The 26,139-nt window shown below is 50.5% G+C and overlaps 2 protein-coding genes across 9 annotated transcripts in view, besides 7 other annotated features; one reads left to right on the top strand and one right to left on the bottom strand.

Annotated features, from left to right (window-relative positions):
- The window catches only part of THRA (thyroid hormone receptor alpha), a 31,675-nt gene extending 25,581 nt beyond the window's left edge, over positions 1-6,094 (bottom strand). For 3 of the 4 annotated variants that reach the window (NM_003250.6, NM_001190918.2, NM_199334.5), the window contains exon 1: positions 5,195-5,322. The gene's annotated coding sequence lies outside the window, so the exon portion shown is untranslated. Of the gene's footprint in view, positions 1-5,194; positions 5,323-5,835 lie in introns of those variants that run through there. The other variant, NM_001190919.2, reaches the window with a different exon arrangement.
- Positions 4,820-4,919: a silencer, noted in NCBI's record as "silent region_8473". NCBI's record gives its function as "represses an Ori minimal core promoter by ATAC-STARR-seq in GM12878 lymphoblastoid cells {active_cell/tissue: GM12878}" and the evidence as "EXISTENCE:reporter gene assay evidence [ECO:0000049][PMID:35858748]".
- Positions 5,120-5,279: a silencer, noted in NCBI's record as "silent region_8472". NCBI's record gives its function as "represses an Ori minimal core promoter by ATAC-STARR-seq in GM12878 lymphoblastoid cells {active_cell/tissue: GM12878}" and the evidence as "EXISTENCE:reporter gene assay evidence [ECO:0000049][PMID:35858748]".
- Positions 5,320-5,499: a silencer, noted in NCBI's record as "silent region_8471". NCBI's record gives its function as "represses an Ori minimal core promoter by ATAC-STARR-seq in GM12878 lymphoblastoid cells {active_cell/tissue: GM12878}" and the evidence as "EXISTENCE:reporter gene assay evidence [ECO:0000049][PMID:35858748]".
- Positions 5,950-6,535: an enhancer, noted in NCBI's record as "H3K4me1 hESC enhancer chr17:38218005-38218590 (GRCh37/hg19 assembly coordinates)". NCBI's record gives its function as "activates a minimal SCP1, AML or CMV promoter by ChIP-STARR-seq in naive H9 embryonic stem cells {active_cell/tissue: H9 hESC(naive)}" and the evidence as "EXISTENCE:reporter gene assay evidence [ECO:0000049][PMID:30033119]".
- Positions 6,536-7,123: an enhancer, noted in NCBI's record as "H3K4me1 hESC enhancer chr17:38217417-38218004 (GRCh37/hg19 assembly coordinates)". NCBI's record gives its function as "activates a minimal SCP1, AML or CMV promoter by ChIP-STARR-seq in primed H9 embryonic stem cells {active_cell/tissue: H9 hESC(primed)}" and the evidence as "EXISTENCE:reporter gene assay evidence [ECO:0000049][PMID:30033119]".
- Positions 7,124-7,711: an enhancer, noted in NCBI's record as "H3K4me1 hESC enhancer chr17:38216829-38217416 (GRCh37/hg19 assembly coordinates)". NCBI's record gives its function as "activates a minimal SCP1, AML or CMV promoter by ChIP-STARR-seq in primed H9 embryonic stem cells {active_cell/tissue: H9 hESC(primed)}" and the evidence as "EXISTENCE:reporter gene assay evidence [ECO:0000049][PMID:30033119]".
- Positions 13,620-13,679: an enhancer, noted in NCBI's record as "active region_12122". NCBI's record gives its function as "activates an Ori minimal core promoter by ATAC-STARR-seq in GM12878 lymphoblastoid cells {active_cell/tissue: GM12878}" and the evidence as "EXISTENCE:reporter gene assay evidence [ECO:0000049][PMID:35858748]".
- MED24 (mediator complex subunit 24) overlaps positions 13,879-26,139 on the top strand; it is a 35,305-nt gene continuing 23,044 nt past the window's right edge. For 4 of the 5 annotated variants that reach the window (NR_052017.2, NM_001267797.2, NM_014815.4 and 1 more), the window contains exons 1-3: positions 13,879-13,926; positions 14,652-14,818; positions 14,907-14,989. Coding sequence is in view for 4 of the 5 variants with exons in the window: in NM_001267797.2 (NP_001254726.1) it covers positions 14,689-14,818; positions 14,907-14,989 (213 nt within the window). In the remaining variant the exon portion in view is untranslated. Of the gene's footprint in view, positions 13,927-14,629; positions 14,819-14,906; positions 14,990-26,139 lie in introns of all 5 variants that reach the window. The other variant, NM_001079518.2, reaches the window with a different exon arrangement.

Below are 26,139 nucleotides of genomic sequence, written 5' to 3'. Positions count from 1 at the left end.
CCACCTTGTGTTATTTGCCCTCAACCTGAGTGAGACAGGAACCATTGTCTCTAGATAATGAAAACCCAGGCCCAAAGTCATACGACTAGTGAATGTCAACAGCCAGGCCTCCCAACTCCCAGCCAGTGATCTTCCCACCACGGTCATGCTTGCCTCCCTCCCCAAGAGACACAACAGTTCTCCAAAGTCCCCTAGACACCTTTGCAGCCATGAGAACTAGAGTTGGGTTTTTTGTTTTGTTTTCTGTCTGTTTTGAGAGGATGTGTGTGTGGGGGGTCTCACTCTGTTGTTCAGGCTAGAGTGCAGTGGCACAATCACAGCTCACCGCAGCCTCGACCTTCCAGGCTTAAGCGATCCTCCGGCCTCAGCCTCCCAAGTAGCTGGTAACACAGGCATGCGCCACCACACCTGGCTAACTTTTTAAAGTTGTTTTTAGAGATGGGGTCTCACTATGTTGACCAGGCTGATCATGAACTACTGGCCTCAAGTGATCCTCCCGCCTTGGCCTCCCAAAATATTGAGATTACAGGCATGAGCCACTGTGCCCAGCCGAGAACTAGAGTTGAGATTGGTTCCCACTCCAAAGGCTTCCCGTCACCCCTACAGGGTATCCTCCCATTGTCCTTCCTTCACCTTGAGGGGCAGGGCTAAATAAAAGGGGTTTGGAGAGGGGATCCTGATCACCAGACTCACAAAGGCAAAGAGGCAACCCAGGACAGATGCTGGATCTCAAAGTGCTGTGCCCACCACACTGGTCATTACTCAGTGCTTCAGTTTCTCTCTGCCACCACCTTTCACACTAAGTACCACTCCATGGAGGGCAGGGGAATCTGGTGCCTATCAGCCAGAGCTGGGTCCTGGTTGACCAATGCTGGGCTCCCAGGAGGGAGGAAGGGCACTGCCTCCTCTTTGAGCCCACACATAAGAGAGGGGACGGCTTTCCTTGTTCTCTCTCTCCCACCCCCAGAGCTCAGACCCTGAACAGAGATGCAGTGATGCCCAAAGATTTATGCAGGTGCCCCTAGCTGGTGGGGTGTGTCCCAGGCTGAGGGGCCAAGGGCTCCTTGTAAGCTGAAGGGCGAGGGTCAAAGGAGGGTGGGGCAGAGGGGCCTGCCTTGGGCTCTTTCCCATACACTCATTCCAGGCTGCAAAAATTTGTCTGGGAGGAAAAGATTACATGACGGTGAGAAGGCTGGAAATTGGAGACCCACTGCCCCAGGCCCCAGTCTCACTGATGTCTAGGAGACCCAATTCTCCACGAAGCTTCTCTAAGAAATCTGGGAGACCCCAGGCCCACAGCTTCCTTCACCCATCACAACCGCTCACATATACAGTTTGTTATGAACTAGGCACTTTTAAAAACATTTTTCCTCAAAAAAGCTAAATGAGGTAGATATGATCATCCCCAATTTACAGATGAGGCAACGGGGAAGTTAAATCGCTTGCTCAAAGTCACACATCCAGCAAGTGACAGAGCTGGGATTCAGACCTAGGCAGTCCAGGTCAATCATGGCCGTCATGATCATCACCATCATCTCTGTTCTTAGCTGTGATGGTATATCACCTGCTTGATAGATAATGCCTTGTTCTTTTTTGTTTTTCTTTTTTTTTTTTTTTTTTTTTGAGACGGAGTCTCGCTCTGTCACCCAGTCTGTAGTGCAGTGGTACAATCTCAGCTCACTGCAACCTCCACCTCCTGGGTTCAAGCGATTCTCCTGCCTCAGCCTCCTGAGTAGCTGGGATTACAGGACCCCGCCACCACACCCAGCTAAGTTTTGTATTTTTAGTAGAGATGGGGTTTCACCATCTTGGTCAGACTGGTCTTGAACTCCTGACCTCAGGTGATCTGCCTGCCTCCGCCTCCCAGTGTGCTAGGATTACGGGTGTGAGCCACTGTGCCCGGCCCAATGCCTTGTTCTTTCATCCAGCTATGTGTTCCCTGAGACCAAGCCTCAGTCTTTCCCCTCTGTAGCTGCCCTGTGGGTTCTCTGCCAAGTGCCTCCACCTCCAAATAGTCCAAGGCTAGAGGGGAGCATAGCGAGAAGTGCTTGGTGCCCCCGGGCTCGATGTCTCCTGCCTGAGTTCCCCCTCCTCAAATTCCCTCTCCAGAAGAGGTACCCCTTCTAGGCTGGAACCTGCACTCACGGGTGGGAGGGCCTCGCTTAGTACATACTTAGTCTAGGCAGCTGTGCCCTCAGAACCAGGCCCTGAGGCTGGGCAAAAAGGACACAGCTGTTGGGCATCTCTGAGGTGGGCCTCAGCTGCCAGGGGTGTGGAGAAAGGCCATTGTGAGCCCTGCAGTGGACCCAACTCAGCAGGGTCCTGCCAGCTCCCGCCACTGCCCATGGGGGCGGTTCTTTTCCAGCTTGGGCCAGTGTGGGGGGAGCCTCTTCATGGCTTGTTTAAGAGCTGCTAGCTGGCTGCAGCCTGCACCCTGAGGGTGCCCACAGAACTGGTGTCTCCAGACATGCAGGCCCGAGGGGTCAGCATGGGCAGTGGCTGACCCCCCCCCCCTTCCCCCATTCCCAGCCCCTAAAACTTGCTGGCCACAGCTGCGGCACTAAGGAAGTGCAGGAAGTCCTGAGCAGCCAGCTGAGCCCCCCGCCCCCCACCCCAACCTCAAGCTGACCCCAGAGGCTGCGCAGGGGGGGCAGAGGGGCGGAGCTTGGGTATTAACAACTGGAAAAGTATGAAGAACATTGCTGCCAGTCCCCAGCTCTGAGACAAGGACAGGGGTAGATCGGGGGTAGCAACAGGGTGAGAGAGAGTTACAGACTGGCAGAGAAACAAGGAGAGAGAGAGGGAGAATCAGACACTGCAAGACAGAGCAACAGAGAGACAGAGTTAGAGAGAAATTCCAAGTCAAAAGTACATATCACTCACACAGACACTCGCCAGCCGATGGCCTCTTAAGGAAAGCTTCCAAGTTTGGACAGGAGGGTACAGGTGGGAAAAAGGGCCAGACTCAAGGTGGGGCGCAGGAACTCAGCTGGAAGTGACTGACTGTTCCCAGGAAAGACCCAGGCAAATGACTCAGAGCAGGGGCAGTTAGACACCCCTGAGCTTTTAGGGTAGGGAGGAGAGCAGCTCTCCCCTTCCCCAACAGTCAAGAGAATCCTAGCTTCTAGAAGTCACTGGACACTGCTTTGAGCCCATGACTCGGCCCTCTGGAACCCCCCTGAACCCACTGTCTTTGCTCTTGTTTCTCTGTCCCTCTAAAAGAAAGAAAGAAAAAAAAAACAGCCCATTCCCGCACAGTGGCTGAGCCTAGAGGAAAAAGGGGAGGAGGAAGCTGAAGGGGAAAAATTTGTGATTGTGTGCATCTAAGTGTGTGCTCGGCTGCACAGGCTGCAGTTGTGTGTATCTGGGGTTGTGTGGACACGACTGTTGGTGTGGACCTGCAACTGTGGGGACCTGGGCCTTGTGAACTCATTCTGCACCTGAGTTCAGGGGACCATGTGCAAATGAGTGCACCTGTGTCTGCAGGTTCCACAGTCAATCAACTAACAAGTATTTACAGAGCAGCCCTTGTGCTAGGCTCTGCGTGGGATCCAGAGCTCTTTAAGTGATTCTCCCAGGTCTCCAAGAGCTCACTGTCTAGTAGGGTGGTATCTCAAGCGATAGAGACCAAGAACATGTCATTGGGAATGCATGCTTTACACCATTACGCAGGAACACTTTTTCATACAGCCAAATTTAATATTCTTGGGAGCAAGGGTTTTGTTGCCTACAGAACCTCAGAGCTCCACAGTAAAGAGTCCAGGAAAATACTTGTTGCTAAGTTGTGTATACATGTGTTGGTGTGTAACTGTGTTTGCATCTGACTGAGTGACAGCGACTGTCACGGCAAGCAATGATGTCTGTGTGACTGGGCTCATGCGAGCACGTGTGTGCCTGTGAGTGACAGGGTCTTTTGTAATTGTGCTGCTGTGTGCAATTGCTCTGTGTGCATGCATGCATGTGACAGTGACTTTTTATGTGTGGGTGACAGCAACTCCTCCTTGCCCCAGTGTGTGACAGCATCTACGTGTGACCCTGTGCGTGGGTATGTGCATGGATCGGTCCCCATGCTCTTGGTCTCCCATGGGTATATCCCACCCCTCAGAGCTCCACGGTGCAGCAGCAGCCTGTCTCTTCCCTTGTCCCCATGTGGGTGTGTCCAGTAGCTCCTGTCCTTGAGTCTGCCTGGGTGTCCCTGGATGTGCATGTGGCTGTCTGTGTGGACATATCTCTGTGTCTGCGTGTCACTTTTGCTTCCCCCCTCATTTTGGACAACAGCCCCCTTCATCCCCTCCCCCTCCTGGAGCCAAAGCCAGCACTGAGGGGCAGGCTCCCACCTCACTGGCTTTCCTTCTGTGTCCCCCACCCCCACCCCTGGAACGGTGGTTCTTTCAATTGCCCCTGTCATCCCCCCAGGCCTTTCTTTCACGCTGGACAAGGGAGGGCCCCAGATGGAGAAGGGGCACCAGAGACACGTTGCAAGGGGAGGGAAACAAGGTGGGGTACACACACACAGGTCCATTTCTCCCTCTCCTCCCCAGCCAGCAACTCTCCTAATCATCTAGGCACCACCAAGTACACCCCTTCCACACACACATTCCCCCCCAACAACCGCGTTTTTGCAATTAGCAGTGTTGCAACCAGACAGCCATGCTCAACCGGGAGGCGGGTGAGGCGGGGGAACTTCCCTCTCCCCGGACCCGTGCAAGCCCACCCGCGCCACCGCACTCATACTGCCCTCCGCAGCTGGAGGCAGCTTTGCAAAGGCCACTCGGGCCTCAGAGGCTAGGGGTGGGGGCTGGGGGGGCAGGCCTCCGGCGCACCGTAAACAAACCGCGGCGCGGCGGGCGGGGGAGCTCCGGCGGCCGGCAACGGGGCCCGGCCCGGGAATGCGCAGCAGACTGGCCGGACAGAGGCCGGGCGGGCCCTCCAGGGGGAGGCTCGGACGCCATCTCCGCCTGCGAACCCCGGGGCCCAGCGACCTCCTAGCAACACCTCCCTTCCCCAGGGCGTCAGTTGCAAGCTCCCGGGCTCGTGACAGGGTCACTGGGGCGCCAGGAAAGGCTGAGGCTGGCAGCAGGCACCCCCTGGGCGCCCCTAGCCCGCCTGGGAGCTGGCCACGGAGCCCCGCGGCTTTGCATAATCAATCGCAAGGCATTTGCATATTAATGCCCCCTCGCTCCCTCCTCCTTACCTCGGCGTGGCGCGCCGGACCGGGCTGGGCAGCGACGCGGGGGTCTCAGCGCCCCGTGCTGGGGGCGTCCATGGGGGGCCGGTGGGGCCCGGGCCGCCCGCCTCCTGCGCCCGGGTGTGAGTGCGAGTGAGCGCGGGGGGGGCGGGGGGCGAGTGTGGCGGCCCCGCGGCTCCTCCGGCAGAGGCGGCGGCCGCTCTGGCTCCTCCCTCCCCCGCCCCGCTCCGGCTGGGGCTCGGGCTCGGCGCGCCCGGCCGGCTCGCGGCTGCTCCCTGCAGGCCGCCTCGCCGCCGCCCGCCCCCGCCCCCCGCCCCCTGCCGCGCCCCGGGACCCCCGCCAGAGGTCCGGCCGCCCCTCGGCCGCCTCTGCCCCGCCCCGCTCGGACTCGCCCTCCCCAGCCCGGGCGGCTCCCGCAGGAGTGGGTACTTGGTGACATATTTTGGAAAAGATGTCATTAAAAAATAGCCTTTGCTTGCCGGGAGAATTGGGGGGTTTTCGGGTGTGCACCGTGAGGGTGGAGGAGGAAGTATCGACGAGCAGCCTGCACCTTATACATCGGGGAGAAAGTCTAAACACCAAACGCTTGCAGGTGTAGTTTGTTTGGGAGTTCGGGTCCCTTCTCCGCCGGTAACTCACTGTGTGACCTTGACAAATCGCCACTGCTGTCGGGGGCAGAGCTTCCTCAAGCTTCAGCTGCGAGGGCTGGGCAGGTGACCCCTGATGTCCTTTTAACTTCAATCATCTTACGTTTTTCATCCTTGTGGGGGTTCATTCCCTGTTACCTCCCTCCCCTCTCATTTCTAACATCAATACCGATCCACTGCCTCCCTTTTCCAACGTCACCCTTCTCCATATAGGCTCTTTCTATTCTCTGTCACCAGCCATTTCCCCCAACAATCTGCTCCCTCTCCTGAGCTCGGGGAGGGGACAAGATCTGCCATACCCCCTCAATTCCTAGCTCCCGGGTGGTGGTATTTCCCCCCATGTTTGCTCCCACAAAAATCCAAATGGTACCAGAGTCAATCTAAGGAAGACGGTGGGCTGCATACAAATGGACCCCCTAACCCAACCCAAAGGAGAGGTCTCCACCATGCCAGCCCCACCCCCAGCACACACATACACACACCACACACCTGCATTCATGGACATAAAACCAACCCAGTGACGCCAGAGCACCTTTCATCTCAGGATCTCCTAGCGCCAGGCCGAGCCCTAATTACCCCAGCACCCCCCTGGCCCCGCCGGTTCCCCTGCTGTCATTAGCCCAGTTTTACCAGCGGGGGCCACAGCCTTCCCACGGCTCTCAGGGTGGGGCCCTGGCTACATAGTCTGCTCTTGGGGAGGGGTGTGTGTGTGAGTGTGTGTGTGTGTAAGTGTGTGTGTGTTAGGGGGAGCTGCTCGGCTAATCGCCCAGTTTATACTGGGCAGAGTCACTTGGCGAGTGTGGGATTCTGAGCCACAGCTTACCCAAGTTGGGCTGCCCTTGCTCATGTCTTAGTCTCAGCCACCTGCATCCTCAGTGCTGTTGGAACCACTTCTTTCACAGGGGGTACTGGAGTTCGTAATGCTTGGCGGAGGGGAGGGTACCTCTCTTGGGGTCCCTGGAACCATGGAGATGAGAAGAGCAGCTGGGATGAAACCTATGGCGTGCAGAGTGCAGTGGTGGTGTTGAGGGCATGCCATGGGTGAAGGGAGCCTGTGGTGTGCAGTGGCAGCTGTAATGGGGAATTGAGGCTGCAGCGTACGGAGCCTCCATGCAGTAAGCGAACCTGTGTTCAGTCTGGGCTCACAGGAGACAAGCAACAGCTGCAGTGTGGGGCAGGAGGCTGCAGTGTGCAGAGTCAGTGCAGTGAGTGGAATGAGGTGCACTGAGGGTGGCTGTCTGCCAGTCGATGCCACCTCCTCGGTGATCAGGTTTGGCCGGAACCCTGGGGAGCAAGGCTGCAGTATGTAGTGCTCAGGGTCTGTACTCTACCCTGTATGGAACTAGTCCCTTGGGATTGGGCTGCTCAAGGAGCTGGGAGGGAATCCCAATGCATGAGATACATTTATACTCTGCATCACAAAGGCAGAACTAGGAGGCAGTGGGGAGGGCCAGCGGTAATCTGGATCAGGGCAGGAGTGATGGTGTCCAGAGGGGGAGGAGGAAGGTGCTACGGTTTTGTCTCTCTTCCATTCTGGCTTTCCCCACCATATCTCTCTTTGATGCAAGGCCCTATAATGTTGGGTGGTGACGACTTTCTGAAATCCTAAACCCAGAGCCATAGAAAATGAAGTGCCTCCTGTTCCACTTTTTTTTTTTCCTGAGGGGCAGAGTGGAGCACTCAAAGACAAGGGTTTACCAGTCCCATCTTCTCCTTCTTAAAATTTATTATTATTATTATTATTTGAGACAGGGTCTTGCTCTTTTGCCCAGGCTGGAGTGCAGTGGCACAATCTTGGCTCACTGCAACCTCCGTCTCCTGGGTTCAAGGGATTTTCATGTCCTAGCCTCCCAAGTAGCGGGGATTGTAGGCATGTGCTAGCATGCCCAGCTAATTTTTGTTTTTTTGCTTTGTTTTGTTTTGTTTTTTTGGTAGAGAAGGGGTTTCACCATGTTGGCCAGGCTAGTCTTGAACTCCTGGCCTCAAGTGCTCCTCCTGCCTTGGCCTCCCAAAGTGCTGGGATTACAGGCATGAACCACCGTCCCCGGCCACCCCCATCTTCTTTTTACCTCTCTCTTTTTCTTGGGCTCCCAGTATGGACTGGTGACAGGTCTGGGCAGGGCAAAGTGAAGGGCACACTGCTTTCAAAGCAGGCCTCTCCCCAGGTGCCAGGATCCAGCCCGTGTCTGGGCGTATAGCCACTGTCCCTGTGTTGCCTCATCTGTCCTCCCACCCCACTCACCCTGCCCACCCATTTCTTGAAGCTGCTAGCTCTTCTCAGATTGAGTTCATCCTCAGCTCCTTTTCCGTCCTTGTCATGAAACCCCCCACCACCACCAGGGCTGTCCCCTCCCATTCCCCACCTCTGCTTCAGAGCATTCCCCGAATCTATGAGGAGGGTAGGGGTGGCATGAATAAGGCTGGATAGACCCTCCAAGAGGATATGTCTGATGGCCCCTCCAGCTGAGATTTCCGTTGCTAAGGAGGTAGCAGGAACAGCCTGTTCTCTGGGCTCCCATCAGAACAGCCATGCCTAGGCCCCTCCCTCTCTCCCTCCATCTCTCCCTCCCTTCCTTCCAGACTGTTGCTAGGAAGCACCCTAAGATTTCTTGAGGATACGACCCCTAGGAACCAAGGTATCCAGATATCTTTCTGAAGAGGTTTTTTTCAAAGTCTGGCAGCTAAAACTCCACACAGCATCCTCTACCCCTGCTCAAAAGCCTTACACATCTCTAGCAGTTTGGGGAAACAGGAGATAGGCCCCTCTACCAGCCACCATGGAACAAGCTCTGTGGCCTGGGCCTCAGTAAATCCCTTCCTCTATCTCATCTTGACCTCTTGGACCCTAGGTCAGCAAGTGATGACATGTCCAGCATATACCTCTAGACTCTGCAGACAGAGCTGAACTTATTGGGGGTGCTCTGGAAAGACAGCAGAGGAAACTGAGGTACTACCAGCCAAGAGAACTCAAAGCTCAGATGTTTCTCCCTCCTAGGGGTTTCCCAATCAGAAAGAGTGGTGCAAATGGAGGAAAGAAAGTTGGAGAGCAGGCTGGGCAAGGTGGCTGACTGACATCACCAGTATTTTGGGAGGCTGAGGTGGGAGGATCTCTTCAGGTCATGAGTTCAAGACCATCCTGGGCAACATAGTGAGACCTCCATCTCAAAAAAAAAAAAAACCAAAAACAAAAACCCACAAATTATCTGGGTGTTGTGGTGCAGACCTTCAGTTCTGGCTACTTGGGAGGCTGATGCAGGAGATGAGAGACTGGCAAATTAGCAATTACCTGGTAAGAGAAAGTGGCCACTTAATTCTCCCCTTTGTCCCATCAGGCGCTATTGCTATGGGTCACAAAAGAGGGAGCCAGGGAAGGGACCAGGCCTGGCTGAGTCTTGCTTTTGGTAGCTGAGGTGAGAAATGGAAAAGGAAGCTGACACCTTTTCCAGGCTGTCTTTCAGGGTTTCTCCTAATTTTATTCATTAATCTGACACTGTTTTTTTTTTTTGTTTGTTTGTTTTTTCCTGATGGAGTCTTGCTCTGTCACCCAGGCTGGAGTGCAGTGGTGTGATCTTGGCTCACTGAAAGCTTGCCTCCCGGGTTAACACCATTCTCCTGCCTAAGCCTCCCGAGTAGCGGGGACTACAGGCACCCACCACAATGCCTGGCTAATTTTTGTATTTTTAGTAGAGACGGGCTTTCACTGTGTTAACCAGGATGGTCTCGATCTCCTGACCTCATGATCCGCCTGCCTCGGCCTCCCAAAGTGCTGGAATTACAGGCGTGAGCCACCGCACCCAGCCTGACACTTTTTTTTTTTAAGCATTTAATATGTGCCAAGTATTAGATTCCCCAAATGCTCCCAGCTTCTGGTTTCACTTTCCCTTAGAGTCTTCTCATCCTATCTTTGCCAGCAGGAGAGAGGAGAGGAGGGGGAGCAGGGAAGTCTCCTTTACCATCAGAGTTTGGGGCTTACCTTTCCGCAGTTCTCCCACTCCAGTTAAAGGAGGGGATAGGGTAGTATGATATGGAAGCCAAAAGTATAAAGCAGAGCAGCTCTCAGGGCCTGGAGGGAGGGGCCATACAAAGGAAATGGCAGGCTGCCCTCCCTTCCCAGCCACTGTCGGCCTCAGGATCACAGCACTTCTCTTTGTGCTGGGAGTATGGAGAGGGAAGGCATCCTCCAGGGTGTTAGAGGGGAAGCTATTCCAAGAGTTGATTCAAATTCTGCCTTTCACTCTCCTGGGGCAGTGGGAAGACAGAGACAGGCAACTGTGGGGGATCCAGGGGTAGTCCCTGAGTCCCTGAGGTGCAGCCACCTTGCAGACCTCTTTCCCATCATTCCCTCCCCCAGATAGACAGAAAGCAGGGATTTTGATTTGGTGACTGGTATGAGGAGGAGACTGGTTTGGAGCCAGCTGTGTATAAGTGTTTGGGAGTGACTGTCTTTCTTTTCCCATCCACCTGCTGCCCATAGTGGGGGGACCCAGGCAAGCTTCCAGAGGAAAATGTTCCACTTAGGGAAAAGGAATGACTCAGTTTCCCTATGGAGAGAAGGGAAGCTGACACCCTCTGTGCCTTGTATGCTTTACCAACGATTTCAGTGTTTCTGGGTTTTTGGGTCTGGACTCTTGCCACTTTTCTTTATACTGTTTTCTAGCCTAGATAGATAAGGAATGTTCCCTTCCCTTTGGGTACCCAGAACCCTGTTCCTTGCCACCTCTTACCCCACTCTGGCCTAGCTGCTTTTCTGACACTTCTCCAGGGTTGCCATATCACTCTGACTGGTTGACTTCCACCTTCCCCTCTTCTCTCTCTAGCCAAGGTAGGCAACAAGATGAAGAAAGAGGTTGGGGCTCAGGACTAGGAGGGCAGAGATGGGAGTTCGGCCCCTGTCCCTGTTGAGAGGAAATGAACAGCAAAAGAAAGTGGGGTAAGTAGGACGGGGCTTTGAGATGGGCTGGAGGGCTTTTTTTTTTTTTTTTGAGACGAAGTTTCGCTCTTGTTGCCCAGGCTGGAGTGCAATGGTGCAATCTCAGCTTACCGCAACCTTCGCCTCCTGGGTTCAAGCAATTCTCCTACCTCCATCTCCCGAGCAGCTGGGATTACAGGCATGCGCCACCATGCCCGGCTAATTTTGTTTTTTAGTAGAGATGGGGTTTCTCCATGTTGGTCAGGCTGGTCTCGAACTCCTAACCCCAGGTGATCTGCCTGCCTTGGCTTCCCAAAGTGCAGGGATTAGAGGTGTGAGCCACCGCGCCCGGTTGGGGGGCTGTTTTTTTGTACACCCAAAGGAAATGTTAGCATCTCTCTTCACCCTTTGGAGGATTATCATGGGGTCCCGGTCCTGTGCTTGCAGTGAGCCAGAGAGCCCAAGGGGGTCCCTAGGAAGATATTGTGGTGTGGAAGGAAGAGGTGATATAGGAAAGGCTGCCTCTGATGTTTACAGACTAGAGAGGCAGGGAGGTCAAAGTGGATAAACTAAAAATGGTCCTTGCCCAGAGCTAAGGGAGCCTTTGTACATAGGAGTCCAGCCTTTGGGGAAACCTTGCCAAGCCTAGAGAAAGGGCTGCTGGTGGGAGGTGGGGAGACAGAGAAGGCAGATGGCCTGACTACAAAAGCCGCCTCCCTGTCACTGCGAAGTGGGGAGGAGGCACCTCCCTAGAAATCTGCCAGGCTCCCTGCCAGAGGGAATGGTTTGAGCTCAAAATATCACCATCCTCAGGGCCCAAATAGTCCCCAGTCCTGTGTGGACCGGACACACAGTTGACAGCTTCTCTCCAAGAGAGGCAGTTTGGGCTCTGAGGTATGCGACAGGGGCTCCAGGATGATCCAGGAATGGCTCCAGGTGGAGGGCCTTAGGCTGTGGCTACAGGCACAGAATGACAGCAGGGGAGCAGGCAAAGGTAGAGTGAGGGGCCTGGGAGAACAGGGGAAGTCAGATATGTGAGAGACTGAGGAGAAGCAGGGTTTGTGGCAGTCTCAAGTATGAGTGGAGTGGCCGGGGGTCATCTGGAAGGTGAGGTGAGGAATCCGTATTTCCCTCCTTCCTGCTTTAGAAGCTTTGGCAACATATATTTGGCAGCTGTTTTGTATACACACTATTCCCCAATGGTGTCACTTGGGCAGGCACAAAGGGAGCCTAAGAGAGGGGTGTGGATTGAATGTATGGGGAGGAAGAAAGGCCATAGGCAGTACCAACCGCAGGAGGACATGATCTGACCCTCCTTCAGCCACACTCTCCCCTTTGGAACAGAAGTTCTTGACTCCCTGTTTAGACCATTCTCCAGACACCCAGGGCGCTGTAATTCTCTGCCCAAATGGCCACAGTTTTGCTTCCAGAGCCTTAAGTGGGCTGCTCTCCCAGATTTATCCTCCCGAGGACTGATTTTGCCACTCAAAGGGTGAGCAAAGAATGGTTGTTGGAGGCTAGGCACGGTGGCTCATGCCTACAGTCCTAGCACTCTGGGAGGCCAAGGTGGGTGGCTGAGGTCAGGATTTTGAGACCACCCTGGCCGACATGGCGAAACCCTGTCTCTACTAAAAATACAAAAATTAGTCGGATGTGGTGGCACACGCCTGTAATCCCAGCTACTTGGGAGGCTGAGGCAGGAGAATTGCTTAAACCTGGGAGGCAGAGGTTGCAGTGAGCTGAGACTGCGCCATTGCACTCCAGCCTGGGCAACAGAGCAAGCCTCCATCTCAAAAAAAAAAAAAAAAAGAATCTTTGTTGAGGAATACAGATTGAGCTTGAACTTGTGAACTAGGATATTGGGCCCTGGCTAAAGGCCTCCATGTTTATTTATTTATGTATTTTGGTAGAGCTGAGAGTCTCATTATGTTGCCCAGGCTGGATTTGAACTCCCGAGCTCAAGTGATCCTCCTTTCTCAGCCTCCCGAGTAATTTACTCTTATTCCTGGTTGTAAATGTTAGGGATGACCAGTCCATAGCATGGGGAGGGATGAGGGCTATGCATAAGAAGGCTCAGACATTGGAGCCTCCAGAGGTGGGTAACATTTGCTTTCGGGTTTCTCACTGGGGGAAGGAAAGGCTATGGCCAAAGCCCTGGGCATAATTTATATATGGATCTTTGGGATAAGCAAGATTTAAACAACAACAACAACAACAACAACAAGAAACTTAAAAAAACAAGTTTTTAATTTACAGGAAAAAAATGGAAGGTAATAGAGGGTCCCCACATATTCTGCACCCAATTTCTCTTTTTATTAACATCTTAGCATTAGTATTATGCATTTGTAACAACTAATGAACTAATATTGATACATTATTATTAATTAAAGTCCACCCTTTATTTAGATTTCCTTAGTTTTTACCCAGTATTCTTTTTCTCTTCCATGATCGCATTCAGAAAACCACATTACATTTAGTCATCAGGTCTCCTTAGCCCTCTTAGTTGTGACAGTTTCTCAGAATTCCTTTGATTTTGATCACCTTCACCTTAGTTTCCTCTTTACTTTCCCTTGTATCCAAGCTGTATGGAGGGCCTGGAGATTCTGATAGGACTGTAAGATTCGGGGACGGTGATATGTGTGCAACTAAGGCACCTCGGTGTCGCTTTTAGAATATAGTTGTGGAAATGAGAATAGCTCTGGTAGCTCCAGGGGCTTAGGAGAACAGAAAGAGCCCAGGAAAGGAGAAAGACCTTATTGCTGAACGCCACACCCTTGCCCCCACGCCACACCCTTGCCGCACCTACTAACTAGGGGCTAACGAATGAAAGGGTGTCGGAATATGATGGAGAAGCCCGGTCGACAGTGACGTCGTGGGCGACGCCGGGTTGTGAGCGGCCTTTCGAGCTCCCTCGAGTCCCTGAGTCTCTGTAGTGCCTCAGCTCCTGGATGTCCTCCCTTAAAGGAGAAGAACAATGCGGGCCGACTAGACGAGTCCCTTAGTTTCCTCGCCGGCGCAGACAAATACGGTTTCAGTCCAAGGAACTACCATTCCCAGAAGACAGCGGGGCGTTCCTTGCTGCATTTCTATTGGTTGGCGTTTGTTACTCCCAGCCAATAGAAAGTGAGCTTCTTGACAAGTGCCAAAATGGCGATGCCTACCACCTAGAACTGGATTGTGCGGTAGGCTTAAATTTGGGGAGGTGGTGGATGAAAAGGAAATTGGGAGGTATAGTTACAGGGCTGGAGAAGGTGGAGGAAATGAGGGAGCAAATCTGGACTTGGAATGGTGGTGGCCAAGGGACGCTTTTAGAGCTAAGGGCGTAATTAGGCAACCAGGACTGCCTTAACTCCTTGATGCCCTGTTTAATCTATTAGTCCCTTTGATACTTCTTTATTCATTTATTTGAGAGACGGAGTTTTGCTCTTGTTGCCCAGGCTGGAGTGCAATGGTGCGATCTCGGCTCACCCCAACAACCTCCGCCTCCCGGGTTCAAGCGATTCTACTGCCTCAGCCTCCCGAGTAGCTGGGATTACAGGCATGCACCACCAAGCCCGGCTAATTTTGTATTTTTAGTGGAGACGAGGTTTCTCCATGTTGGTCAGGCTAGTCTCGAACTCCTGACCTCCGGTGATTCGCCCGCCTCTGCCTCCCGAAGTGCTGGGATTACAGGTGCGAGCCACTGCGCTCGGCCGATACTTTCTTAGTGCCCCAGTTTAAGGAAGGGCGGTTCAGGAGGAGAGAGTCTGACAGGATCTTACTTTATCCCTTTAGCTCTTTTTCTTTCAAATTCCTCTGTCTCGCTTAAATCTTCCCGCATCTTCTCCTTTCTATTTAATTCTGCCTTCCCCGGTTCTCCTTAGAACCTCATGTCCTTTTCTTTAGCTCCATTTCTTTCACCTCAAAGCTGGCCGCCACCGCTGCCACCTGCTCAGAGTGAAATAATGAAGGTGGTCAACCTGAAGCAAGCCATTTTGCAAGCCTGGAAGGAGCGCTGGAGTGACTACCAATGGGCAATCAACATGAAGAAATTCTTTCCTAAAGGAGCCACCTGGGATATTCTCAACCTGGCAGGTCTCAAGTGAACTGGGAAAGAAAGATGGGAGGGATAAACCCAGAGAAGTTGTAATCACTCAGTTGTGTTTTGCTATTCCTCTTGCAGATGCGTTACTAGAGCAGGCCATGATTGGACCATCCCCCAATCCTCTCATCTTGTCCTACCTGAAGTATGCCATTAGTTCCCAGGTAAGCTTCCCGCAAACCCCCACCAAGAAGTGAGAGTTCTGGGGGTAAAAAACTTGGAGTGCATTTGGGCCCCGGTGGTTCATGGCTGTAATCCCAGCATTGTGGGAGGCTGAGGCAGGCGGATTGCTTGAGCCCAGGAGTTCAAGACCAGCCTGCGTAACATGGCAAAACCCAGTCTCTACCCAAAAATACAAAGAGTTACCCCTGCGTGGTGGTGCCCCTGTAGTCCCAGCTACTTGGAAGGCTGAGGTGGGAGGATCACCTGAGCCCTGGGAGGTCGAGACTGCAATGAGCCATGATCCTGCCACTGCCCTCCAGCCAGAGCAACAGAGTGAGACCCTGTCTCAGGAAAGAAACAAACAAACACAATTTGGGGTGCAGTTGTACAATTGTCAGCTTACTCTTTCTAGATGAAAGAGTAAGATTCTAGATTGATCTGTTTGAACAGATCATTTCAGTGAGTTTCAGTGTTCTCATAAAAATAATACTTCATTTGTTGTGATGAATATTACATTCACTTATTCTGCTGGGAGTGGTAGCAGGTAGCACAGGCCTGTGGCCCCACCTACTCAGAAGGTGGAGGTAGGAGGCTTGCTTGAGCCCAGGAGTTTGAGGCTACAGTGAGCACTGATTGTGCCACTGCACTCCAGCCTGGGCAACAGAACAACACTCCGTCTATTAAAAACAACAACAAGCAAAAGAAAAAAAGAGGATTACATTCACCTATTCTATCAACAAATACTCATGAATGCTTTTATGTGCCAGACAGTGCTTAGCCCCTGGGGAATATAGCTGTGAACAAAACCCGATGTCAGTACACAGAAAATTTAGTGGGTAATATAGACATGTAAATAAGCAGTCACTAGATGGGTTTATGATAAAGGTTAGGATAGAGTACAGATGCTCCTCAACTTACAATGGGGTGATGTGCTGATATACCACTCATAAGTTGAAAATGTACTTAATACACATAACTTGCCAAAGGTCATCTACCTACCTTTTTTTGAGTCAGAGTCTTGCTCTATCGCCCAGGCTGGAGTGCAGTGGCGTGACCTCGGCTCACTGCAACCTCCGTTTCCCGGGTTCAAGCGATTCTCCTACCTCAGCCTCCCGAGTAGCTGGGACTACAGGTGCCTGCCATCACGCCTGGCTAATTTTTGTATTTTTAGTAGAGACAGGGTTTCACTATATTGGCCAGGCTGGTCTTGAACTCCTGACCTTGTGATCCGCCCGCCTTGGCCTCCCAAAGTGCTAGGATTACAGGTGTGAGCCACCGTGCCTGGCCATCTACCTACCGTAAATGTGCTCAGAACACACTAGCTTACAGTTGGGAAAAATCATCTAACACAAAGCCTGTTTGTTTGTTTATTTATTGAGATGGGATTTCGCTCCTGTTGCCCAGGCTGCAGTGCAATGGCTTGATCTCGGCTCACTGCAACCTCTGCCTCCTGGGTTCAAGTGATTCTCCTGCCTCAGCCTCCTGAGTAGCTAGGATTACAGGCGTCTGCCACCACACCCGGCTAATTTTTGTATTTTTAGTAGAGATGAGGTTTTACCATTTTGGCCAGGCTGGTCTCGAACTCCTGACTTCAGGTGATCCACCCACCTCGGCCTCCCAAAGTGCTGGGATTGCAGGCATGAGCCACCACGCCCAGCCTTATTTTTTATTGATTGATTGATTGATTGAGGCAGAGTTTCGCTCTGTCACTAGGCTAGAGTGCAGTGGCGTGATCTTGGCTTACTGCAACCTCTGCCTCCCAGGTTTAAGTGATTCTCGTGCCTCAGCCTCCTGAGTAGCTGGGACTACAGGCGTGTGCCACTATGCCCAGCTAATTTTTGTATTTTTAGTAGAGATGGGGTTTCACCATGTTGGCCAGTATGGTCTTGATCTCTTGACCTCGTGATCCTTCCGCCTCGGCCTCCCAAAGTGCTGGGTTTACAGGCGTGAGCCACTGTGCCCGGCCGCCCAGCCTTATTTTTATTTTTTGAGAAGGAGTCTTACTCTGTCACCCAGGGTGGAGTACAGTGGCACAATCTTGGCTCACTGCAACCTCTGCCTTTCGGGTTCAAGCAATTGTCCTGCCTCAGCCTCCCAAGTAGCTGGGATTACAGGCGCCCACCACCAATCCTGGCAAAATTTTTTTTTTTTTTTTTTTTTTTTGAGACAGAGTCTAGCTCTTGTTGCCCAGGCTGGAGTGCAATGGCGCGATCTTGGCTCACCGCAACCTCTGCCTCCCAGGTTCAAGCGATTCTCCTGCCTTAGCCTCCCAAGTAGCTGGGAGTACAGGCAAATGCCATTACACCCGGCTAATTTTGTATTTTTAGTAGAGACTGGGTTTCTCCACGTTAGTCATGCTGGTCTCAAACTCCCGACCTCAGGTAATTCGCCTGCCTTGGCCTCCCAAAGTGCTGGGATTATAGGCGTGAGCCACCACGCCCAGCCAGAAGTGCAGATTTCTTATGTGCATACATTGCATCGTGGTGAAATCTGGGCTTTTAGTATACCCATTACCCTAGTAGTGAACACTGTACCCAATACGTAATTTTTCAACCCTCACCCCACTCCCACCTTCCCACCTTTTATATTCTCCAGTGTCTGTTAGTTCACTCTATATGTGCACACGTTGTGTAGCTCCCACTTATCAGTGAGAATATGTGGTATTTGACTTTTTTTTTATTTACTGAGACGGAGTATTGCTCTGTCGCCCAGGCTGGAGTGCAATGGCTGATCTCAGCTCACTGCAACCTCCTTGACTTTCTATTCCTCAGTTATTTCACTGAGGATAATGGCTTACATGTATGAGCACTTGAAGTACAATTTCTACTGAATGTGTATCTCATATTTTTTTTTGAGACAAGGTCTTACTCTGTCACCCAGGGTGGAGTGCAGTGGCGTGATCTCTGCTTACTGTGACCTCCACCTCCTGGGCTCAAGTGATTCTTCTGCCTGTCTCCCGAGTAGCTGGGACCACAAGCATGCACCACCACACCCAGCTAATTTTTGTAGTTTTAGTAGAGACGGGGTTTTACTGTGTTGGCCAGGCTGGTCTCGAACTCCTGACCTCAGGTGATCCGCTCACCTCGGCCTCCAATGAGCCACCGTGCCTGACCTGAATGCGTATCTCTCTTTTTTTTTTTTTTTTTTTGAGACGGAGTTTCACTCTTGTCCCCCAGGCTGGAGTGCAGTGGTGCGATCTCGGCTCACTGCAACCTCCATCTCCTTGGGCTCAAGCAATTCTTCTGCCTCAGCCTCCCGAGTAGCTGGGATTACAGGCGTGCACCACCATGCCCCGCTAATTTTTGTATTTTTAGTAGAGACAGGGTTTCACCATGTTGGCCAGGCTGGTCTCTAACTCCTGACCTCAAGTGATCCATCTGCCTCGGCCTCCCAAAGTGCTGGGATTACAGGCTTGAGCCACCACGCCCAGCCTGAATGTGTATCTCTTTTACACCATCATAAAGTCGAAAAATTAAGGTGGGGTGTGGTGGCTCACGCCTTAATCCCAGCACTTTGCAAGGCCGAGGTGGGCGGATCACGAGGTCAGGCGATCGAGACCCTCCTGGACAACATGGTGAAACCCCGTCTCTACTAAAAATACAAAAATTAGCTGGGCATGGTGGCGAGTGCCTGTAATCCCAGCTACTTGGGAGGCTGAGGCAGGAGAATCGCTTGAACCAGGGAGTCAGAGGTTGCAGTAAGCCAAGATTGTGCCACTGCACTCCAGTCTGGTGACAGAGCGAGACTCCATCTCAAAAAGTAAAATAAATAAAATTAAAAAATAAAGTCAAAAAATTGTAAGGTGAACCATTGTTAAGTTGGGACTGTCCTTGCTATGGGAATACATGGGAAAGGCACCCAGTCCAGTGTGAACAATCAAGGAAGGCTTTGTGGAGGAAGTGATGTTTAAACCAAGACCTGAATGTTGAGTATGAGTTAGCCGGCACATTGAGGAGAGTGTGTGTGCAAAGCAGAGAAAAGCATATGTACACGGTGGGAGGCAAAAATCACATAATGTTGTTCAGGAACTGAAAATAATTTGGTATGGCTAGAGAAAAGGAGTTTGCTCTCAGGACCCCTTTTTCTTTTCTTTTTTCTCCTTTTTCTTTTTTTGTATTTTTTGTGGAAACGGGGTCTCACTATGTTGCCCAGTCTGGTCTTGAACTCCTGGCCTCAAGTAATCCTTCTTCCTTGTCCTCCTAAAGGCTGGGATTATGAGTATGAGCCACTGTGCTCAGTCCCTGGACCCCTTTACAGTCTTCAAAATTTTGAGACTTTTCTTAAATATATTTGATTGTATTTGATCTCATGCCTCCCTAAAATGTATAAAACCAAGCTGCACCCGACCACCTTGGGTACATGTTTTCAGGACCTCCTGAAGGGCCATGGTTACTCATATTTGACTCAGAATAAATTTCTTCAAATATTAAAACATATATATTATTGGCCAGGCATGGTGGCTCCTGCCTGTAATCCCAGCACTTTGGGAGGCTGAGGTGGGTGGATCATCTGAGGTCAGGAATTCAAGACCAGCTTGGTCAACATGGTGAAATTCTGTCTCTACTAAAAATACAAAAAATTAGCCGGGTGTGGTGGTGCGCACCTGTAATCCCAGCTACTCAGGAGGCTGAGGCAGGAGAATCGCTTGAACCCGGGAAGTGGAGCCTGCAGTGAGCCAACATCATGCCACTGAACTCCACCCTGGGTGACAGAGCAAGACTCTGTCTCAATAAAAAATAAAATGAAATAAAATTAACTGGTCTCTTTGTTGCACCTTGAATAGATCTTTTATCTATGCATGATTTTTGTCACATCATGAATTGGTAATTTGGACAATATCCATGACTAAGTTATATAGATATTACAGTTGTTGATGCATTTAATAATATCATATTCTCACATGTTATGGAGCTTCCAGGACAATCCACTGTACAATTGTGAGAGAAAAAGAGCAAAAAGGTAAACAGTATCTTAGTAGTATTTTAAAAATAATTTTGACTTCCTAGACCCCCTGAAAGGTCTTGGGGACCCTGGGGAGTTCCTGAACCGTACCTTTAGAACTGCTAGGCTGGCACTTTAAGGAGGAGAGTGGTTTAGGGAGAGAGAATGATAAGATTGTAACAGACTTTTGAGTGATGCTAAGGAATTTGGACTTTATTTTAGGGTGACAAATAATCATTTAAAGGGTTTTAAGTGGAGGCGTCACATGACAAGACTTCCGTAAAAATATACATATTTTAATTAACATAGCATAACATACAAAGATCTTGCGCTGGGCGCAGTGGCTCAATCCTGTAATCCCAGCACTTTGGGAGGCCGAGGCGAGTGTATCACCTGAGGTCAGAAGTTCAAGACCAGCCTGACCAACATGGTGAAACCCCGTCTCTACTAAATATACAAAAATTAGCCGGGCATGGTGGTGGGCGTCTGTAATCCCAGCTACTCAGGAGGCTGAAGCAGGAGAATTGCTTGAACCTGGGAGGCGGAGGTTGCAGTGAACCGAGATTGCGCCATTGTGCTCCAGCCTGGGCAACGAGCAAAACTTCGTCTCAGAACATACAAACATCTTAAGATCAATTCAGTCAGGGTTTTTTTTTTGTTGTTGTTTTTTGTTTTTTGTTTTTTTGTTTTTTTTTATGAGATGGAGTCTCGCTCTGTTGCCTGGGCTGGAGTGCAGTAGGGCAATCTCAGCTCACTGCAACCTCCGCCTCCCAGGTCCAAGCTATTCTCCTGCCTCAGCCTCCGGAGTAGCTGGGATTACAGGTGTCCTCCACCACGCCTGGCCAGTTTTTTTGTATTTTTAGTAGAGACGGGGTTTCACCATGTTGGTCAGGCTGGTCTCGAACTCCTGACCTCGTGATCCACCTGCCTTAGCCTCCCAAAGTGCTGGGATTACAGGCATGAGCCACCACGCCTGGCCTATTTAGTGAGTTTTAGCAATTGTATGTACCCATGTCACCAGCATCCAAAATAAGATACAGAGCATTTCTGTTCTCTCAGAAAGTTCCCTTTTACCGCTTTCTAGTCCACTCCCCTCTCCCACAATTGCCTTTATTTGGATTTCTTAGTAATGTAGTCAGATGGGATATAGTTCGTATACTGTCTTTTGTTTAACATAAATGTTTTTGAGATTTATTATTTATGTTGTATATGTTAATAGTACATTCTTTTTATTTATTTTTTTAAATTTGAAACAGGGTCTTGCTCTGTTACCCAGGCTGGAGTGTGCAATGGCAGGATCACAGCTTCCTGTAGCCTCATCCTTCTGGGCTCAAGTAATCCTCCTACCTCAGGTTCCCAAGGAGTTGGGACTACAGTCATGCACCACCATGCCTGGCTAATTTTTAAATTTTTTTGTAAAGATGGGATCTTCCTATGTTGCCCAGGCTGATAATTTTTACATTTTTGTAGGGACGGGGTCTCCCTTTGTTGCCCAGGCTGGTATCAAACTCCTGGGCTCAAGCGATCCTCCTGCCTTGGCCTCCCAAAGTGCTGTGATTACAGGTGTGATCCACCCATGCCTGGCCTCATTCTTCTTCTTCTTGTTTTTTTTTGAGACGGAGTCTCGCTCTGTCGCCCAGGCTGGAGTGCAGTGGCGGGATCTCGGCTCACTGCAAGCTCCGCCTCCCGGGTTCACGCCATTCTCCTGCCTCAGCCTCCCAAGTAGCTGGGACTACAGGCGCCCGCCACTACGCCCGGCTAATTTTTTGTATTTTTTAGTAGAGACGGGGTTTCACCGTTTTAGCCGGGATGGTCTCGATCTCCTGACCTCATGATCCGCCCGCCTCGGCCTCCCAAAGTGCTGGGATTACAGGCGTGAGCCACCGCGCCCGGCCTTTTCTTCTTATTTTTTAACTGCTGAATAGTATTTCTCAGTTGACACATATATATTTTTTTTTATTAAAAATTTTTTTAGGCTGGGCGCAGTGGATCATGCCTGTAATCCCAGGAACTTTGGGAGGCCGAGGCGGGCGGATCACGAGGTCAGGAGATCGAGACCATCCTGGCTAACATGGTGAAACCCCGTCTCTACTGAAAATACAAAAAATTAGCCGGGCGTGGTGGCGGGTGCCTATAGTCCCAGCTACTCGGGAGGCTGAGGCAGGAGAATGGCGTGAACCCGGGAGGCGGAGCTTGCAGTGAGCAGAGATCGCGCCACTGCGCTCCAGCCTGGGCAACAGTGAGACTCCGTCTCAAAAAAAAAAAAAAAAATTTTTTTTAGAGGCTGGGCGTGATGGCTCACGCCTGTAATCCCAGCACTTTGGGAGGCCGAGGCGGGTGGATCATGAGGTCAGGAGACCGAGACCATCCTGGCCAACATGGTGAAACCCCATCTCTACTAAAAATACAAAAAATTACCTGGGTGTGGTGGCATGCACGTGTAGTCCCAGCTACTCGGGAGGCTGAGGCAGGAGAATCACTTGAACCCAGGAGGCGGAGGTTGGAGTGAGCCAAGATCGAACCACTGTACTCCAGCCTGGTTGACAGAGCGAGACTCTGTCTCAAAAAAAACAAAATGTGTAGAGTCAGGATCCTTGCTTTGTTGCCCAGGCTGGAGTGCAGTGGCACAATAGTGGCTCACTGCAGCTTTGACCTCCTTGGCTCAAGCCATCCTCCTGCACCTGTAGCTTGGACTACAGGTGCGCACCAAAACACCCGGCCAATTTTTGCATTTTGTGTAGAGACACGGTTTCGCCATGTTGCTCAGGCTCATCTTGAACTCTTGAGCTCAATCTACCCACCTTGGCCTCCCAGAGTGTTGGGATTATAGGCGTGAGCCATGGAGCTCACCCCTAAACCACTGCTACATAATATTCCATATGTACTTTTTTTTTTTTTTTTGAGATGAAGTCTTGCTCTGTCGCCCAGGCTGGAGAGCAGTGGCACGATCTTGGCTCACTGCAACCTCCTCCTGTCCCCGCCGCTGGGTTCAAGTGATTCTCCTGCCTCAGCCTCCCAAGTAGCTGGGATTACAGGCATGTACCACCACACCTGGCCCATTTTTTTATTTTTAGTAGAGACAGGGTTTCATCATGTTGGCCAGGCTGGTCTCAAACTCCTGACCTCAAGTGATCTGCCCGCCTCGGCCTCCCAAAGTGCTGGGATCACAGGCGTGAGCCACTGTGCCTGGCCCAGCCCATATGTACTTTAATTTAGGTTGTTTGTAATTTTTTACTGTTATAATCAATGTTTCACTGAATATCCTTATACCTACCTGTCTGCATATCTGGAAGTATTTCTCTAGGGTGGATACCTCACAATGGAATATCTGATTTGAAGAATATACACATACTAAATTATAGTAGATCCTGCAAATTTCCCCCTGAAAATGATTGGATTAGGTTATACCCCATCCGTAATGTCTGACAGTATTTCCCCATACCTTTGCCAACGCTGGATATAATTTTTTTTTTTTTTTTTGAGATGGAGTCTCGCTGTGTCGCCCAGGCTGGAGTGCAGTGGTGCAATCTTGGCTCACTGCAAGCTGCACCTCCTGGATTCACGCCATTCTCCTGCCTCAGCCTCCCAAGTAGCTGGGACTACAGGTGCCCACGACCACGCCTGGCTAATTTTTGTATTTTTAGTAGAGATGCGTTTCATCTTGTTAGCCAGGATGGTCTCGATCTCCTGACCTCGTGATCCGCCCACCTCGGCCTCCCAAAGTGCTGAGATTATAGGCGTGAGCCACCGCGCCTGGCCAGAATCTTTTAAAACTTTTTCCAGAGGCAAATAATTATATCATATTATAATGTGCATTTTCTTTTCTTTCTTTTTTTTTTGAGATGGAGTCTCCCTCTGTCGCCCAGGCTGGAGTGTAGTGGCATAATCTTGGCTCACTGCAACCTCTGCCTCCCGGGTTCAAGCAATTCTCCTGCCTCAGCCTCCCGAGTAGCTGGGATTACAGGCATGCGCCACCATGCCCAGCTAATTTTTGTATTTTTAGTAGATACGGGGATTCTCCATGTTAGCGAGGCTGTTCTCAAGCTCCTGACCTCATGTGGTCCACCCGCCTTGGACTCCCAAAGTGCTGGGATTACAGGCGTAAGCCACTGCGCCCGGCCTATGTATTTATGAATACATAATTTATGTATTCATAAATACACAAATAAATATATAATTTGCCTATTTTTCTATTTTTTTTTTTTGTTACGGCTTTTTTTTTTTTTTTTGTGAGACAGAGTCTCACTCCTTCATCCAGACTGGAGTGCAGCTGTGTGATCTCGGCTTATTGCAACCTTAGCTTCCCCGGTTCCAGCCATTCTCCTGCCTCAGCCTCCAAGTAGCTGGGACTATGGGCGGGTGCCACCACGCCCGGCTAATCTTTGTATTTTTAGTAGAGACAGGGTTTCTCCATGTTGGCCAGGCGGGTCTCGAACCTAATATTTAAATCTTTGTTTTTTTTTTTTTTGAGATGGAGTCTCGCTCTTCTGCCCAGGCCGGACTGCAGTGGCAGTATCTCGGTTCACTGCAAGCTCCACCTCCCGGGTTCATGCCATTCTCCTGCCTCAGCCTCCTGAGTAGCTGGGATTACAGGCGCCCGCCACTGCGCCTGGCTAATTTTTTGTATTTTTAGTAGAGATGGGGTTTCACGAAAGTGTTAGCCAGGATGGTCTCGATCTCCTGACCTCGTGATCCGCCCGCCTCGGCCTCCCAAAGTGCTGGGATTACAGACGTGAGCCACCGCGCCTGGCTTATTTAAATCTTTGAAGCAGAAAAATCCTTAAGGAAGACAAAAGTCCAGTAAGGGAAAAAAAGGATAAAACTGACAACAAAAACATAAAAAATTTCTGCATACTAAGAAAAAAAATTACAGGCGGTTCTCCTGTCCAGCCCACCACCCCTGGACTGTCCCTGCATATAAGTTCCGCCTAGCAAAACCCTATGTGTCATCTGCTGTCTCCAGGTCCCTTCAGCCTCTTGAACCTGGTGCCATCCCTAGTGAATAGGGGTCCAGCACAACAATTGGTGAGCCAGTCAAGAGGCTGTGGAGAAAATCCCATCAGTCTGAGACAACGGGATCTGGGAAGGGGAAATCTGAAGGGAAAATCTCATTATTAACAACAGGCCGGGTGTGGTGGCTCCCAGCACTTTGGGAGGCCGAGGTGGGTGGATCACCTTAGGTTAGGAGTTCAAGACTAGTCTGGCCAACATGGTGAAACCCTGTCTCTACTAAAAATGTAAAAATTAGCTGATGGTGGCGCACATCTGTAATCCCAGCTACTCGGGAGGCTGAGGCAGCAGAATCCTTTGAACCGCGGAGGCGCACTTGCGGTGAGCTGAGATCACATCACTGCACTTTAGCCTGTGTGACAGAGTGAGATCCTATCTCAAAATAAATAAATACATACATACGTAATAAAATGAAAAATATATTCTCTAATTTCTGCCAACACTGGACTTTTATTTTTTGTATTTACTTTGTTTGATCCATTTAGAATTTATTGTGGTATGAGGATGGGATCCACATTTATTATTTGTTCAAATAGATGGATAATGGCTCAACTGTCTTTATTGAATAGGCCATTCTTTGTCATATCTTAAATTTTAAATTCTCTTGTACACAAGGGTCCATTTTTTGACACCCTAGTATATTTCATTGGTATCTTTCTCTGTTTTTTTTGAGACGGAGTATCACTCTGTCTTCCAGGCTGGAGTGCAGTGGTGCGATCTCGGCTCAGTGCAACCTCCTCCTCCTGGGTTCAAGCATCAAGCAATTCTCTGCCTCAGCCTCCCAAGTAGCTGGGATTATAGATGCCCACCACCACGCACAGCTAATTTTTGTATTTTTAGTAGAGATGGGGTTTCACCATCTTGGCCAGGCTGGTCTTGAACTCCCGACCTCATAATCCATCTGTCTCAGCCTCCGAAAGTGCTGGGATTACAGGCGTGAGCCACTGCGCCCGGCCTCTTTCTCTTTTGTTGCACCAGAACTTTATTAGAGCTTTATAGTATGTTTTGATACCTTGGTGGACAAATCTTCACTTAGTTTCTTTATTTTTCAAAATTTTTTTGGCTGTTTTCAGACATTTCATTTCCAGACAAATTTTAGAATCAATTCGTTAAGTTACCATAAAAATCCTATTATATTTTAATCCAGATTTCCTTGACTTTGTAGATTAATTAGGGACATTTGTGGATTAATTTTAAAAAG

Source organism: Homo sapiens, chromosome 17 (genome assembly GCF_000001405.40).
Source record: "Homo sapiens chromosome 17, GRCh38.p14 Primary Assembly".
Classification (NCBI taxonomy): Eukaryota; Metazoa; Chordata; class Mammalia; order Primates; family Hominidae; genus Homo; species Homo sapiens.
Note: the sequence above shows the minus strand (reverse complement) of the source record. Positions and strands in the feature narration are given on the sequence as shown.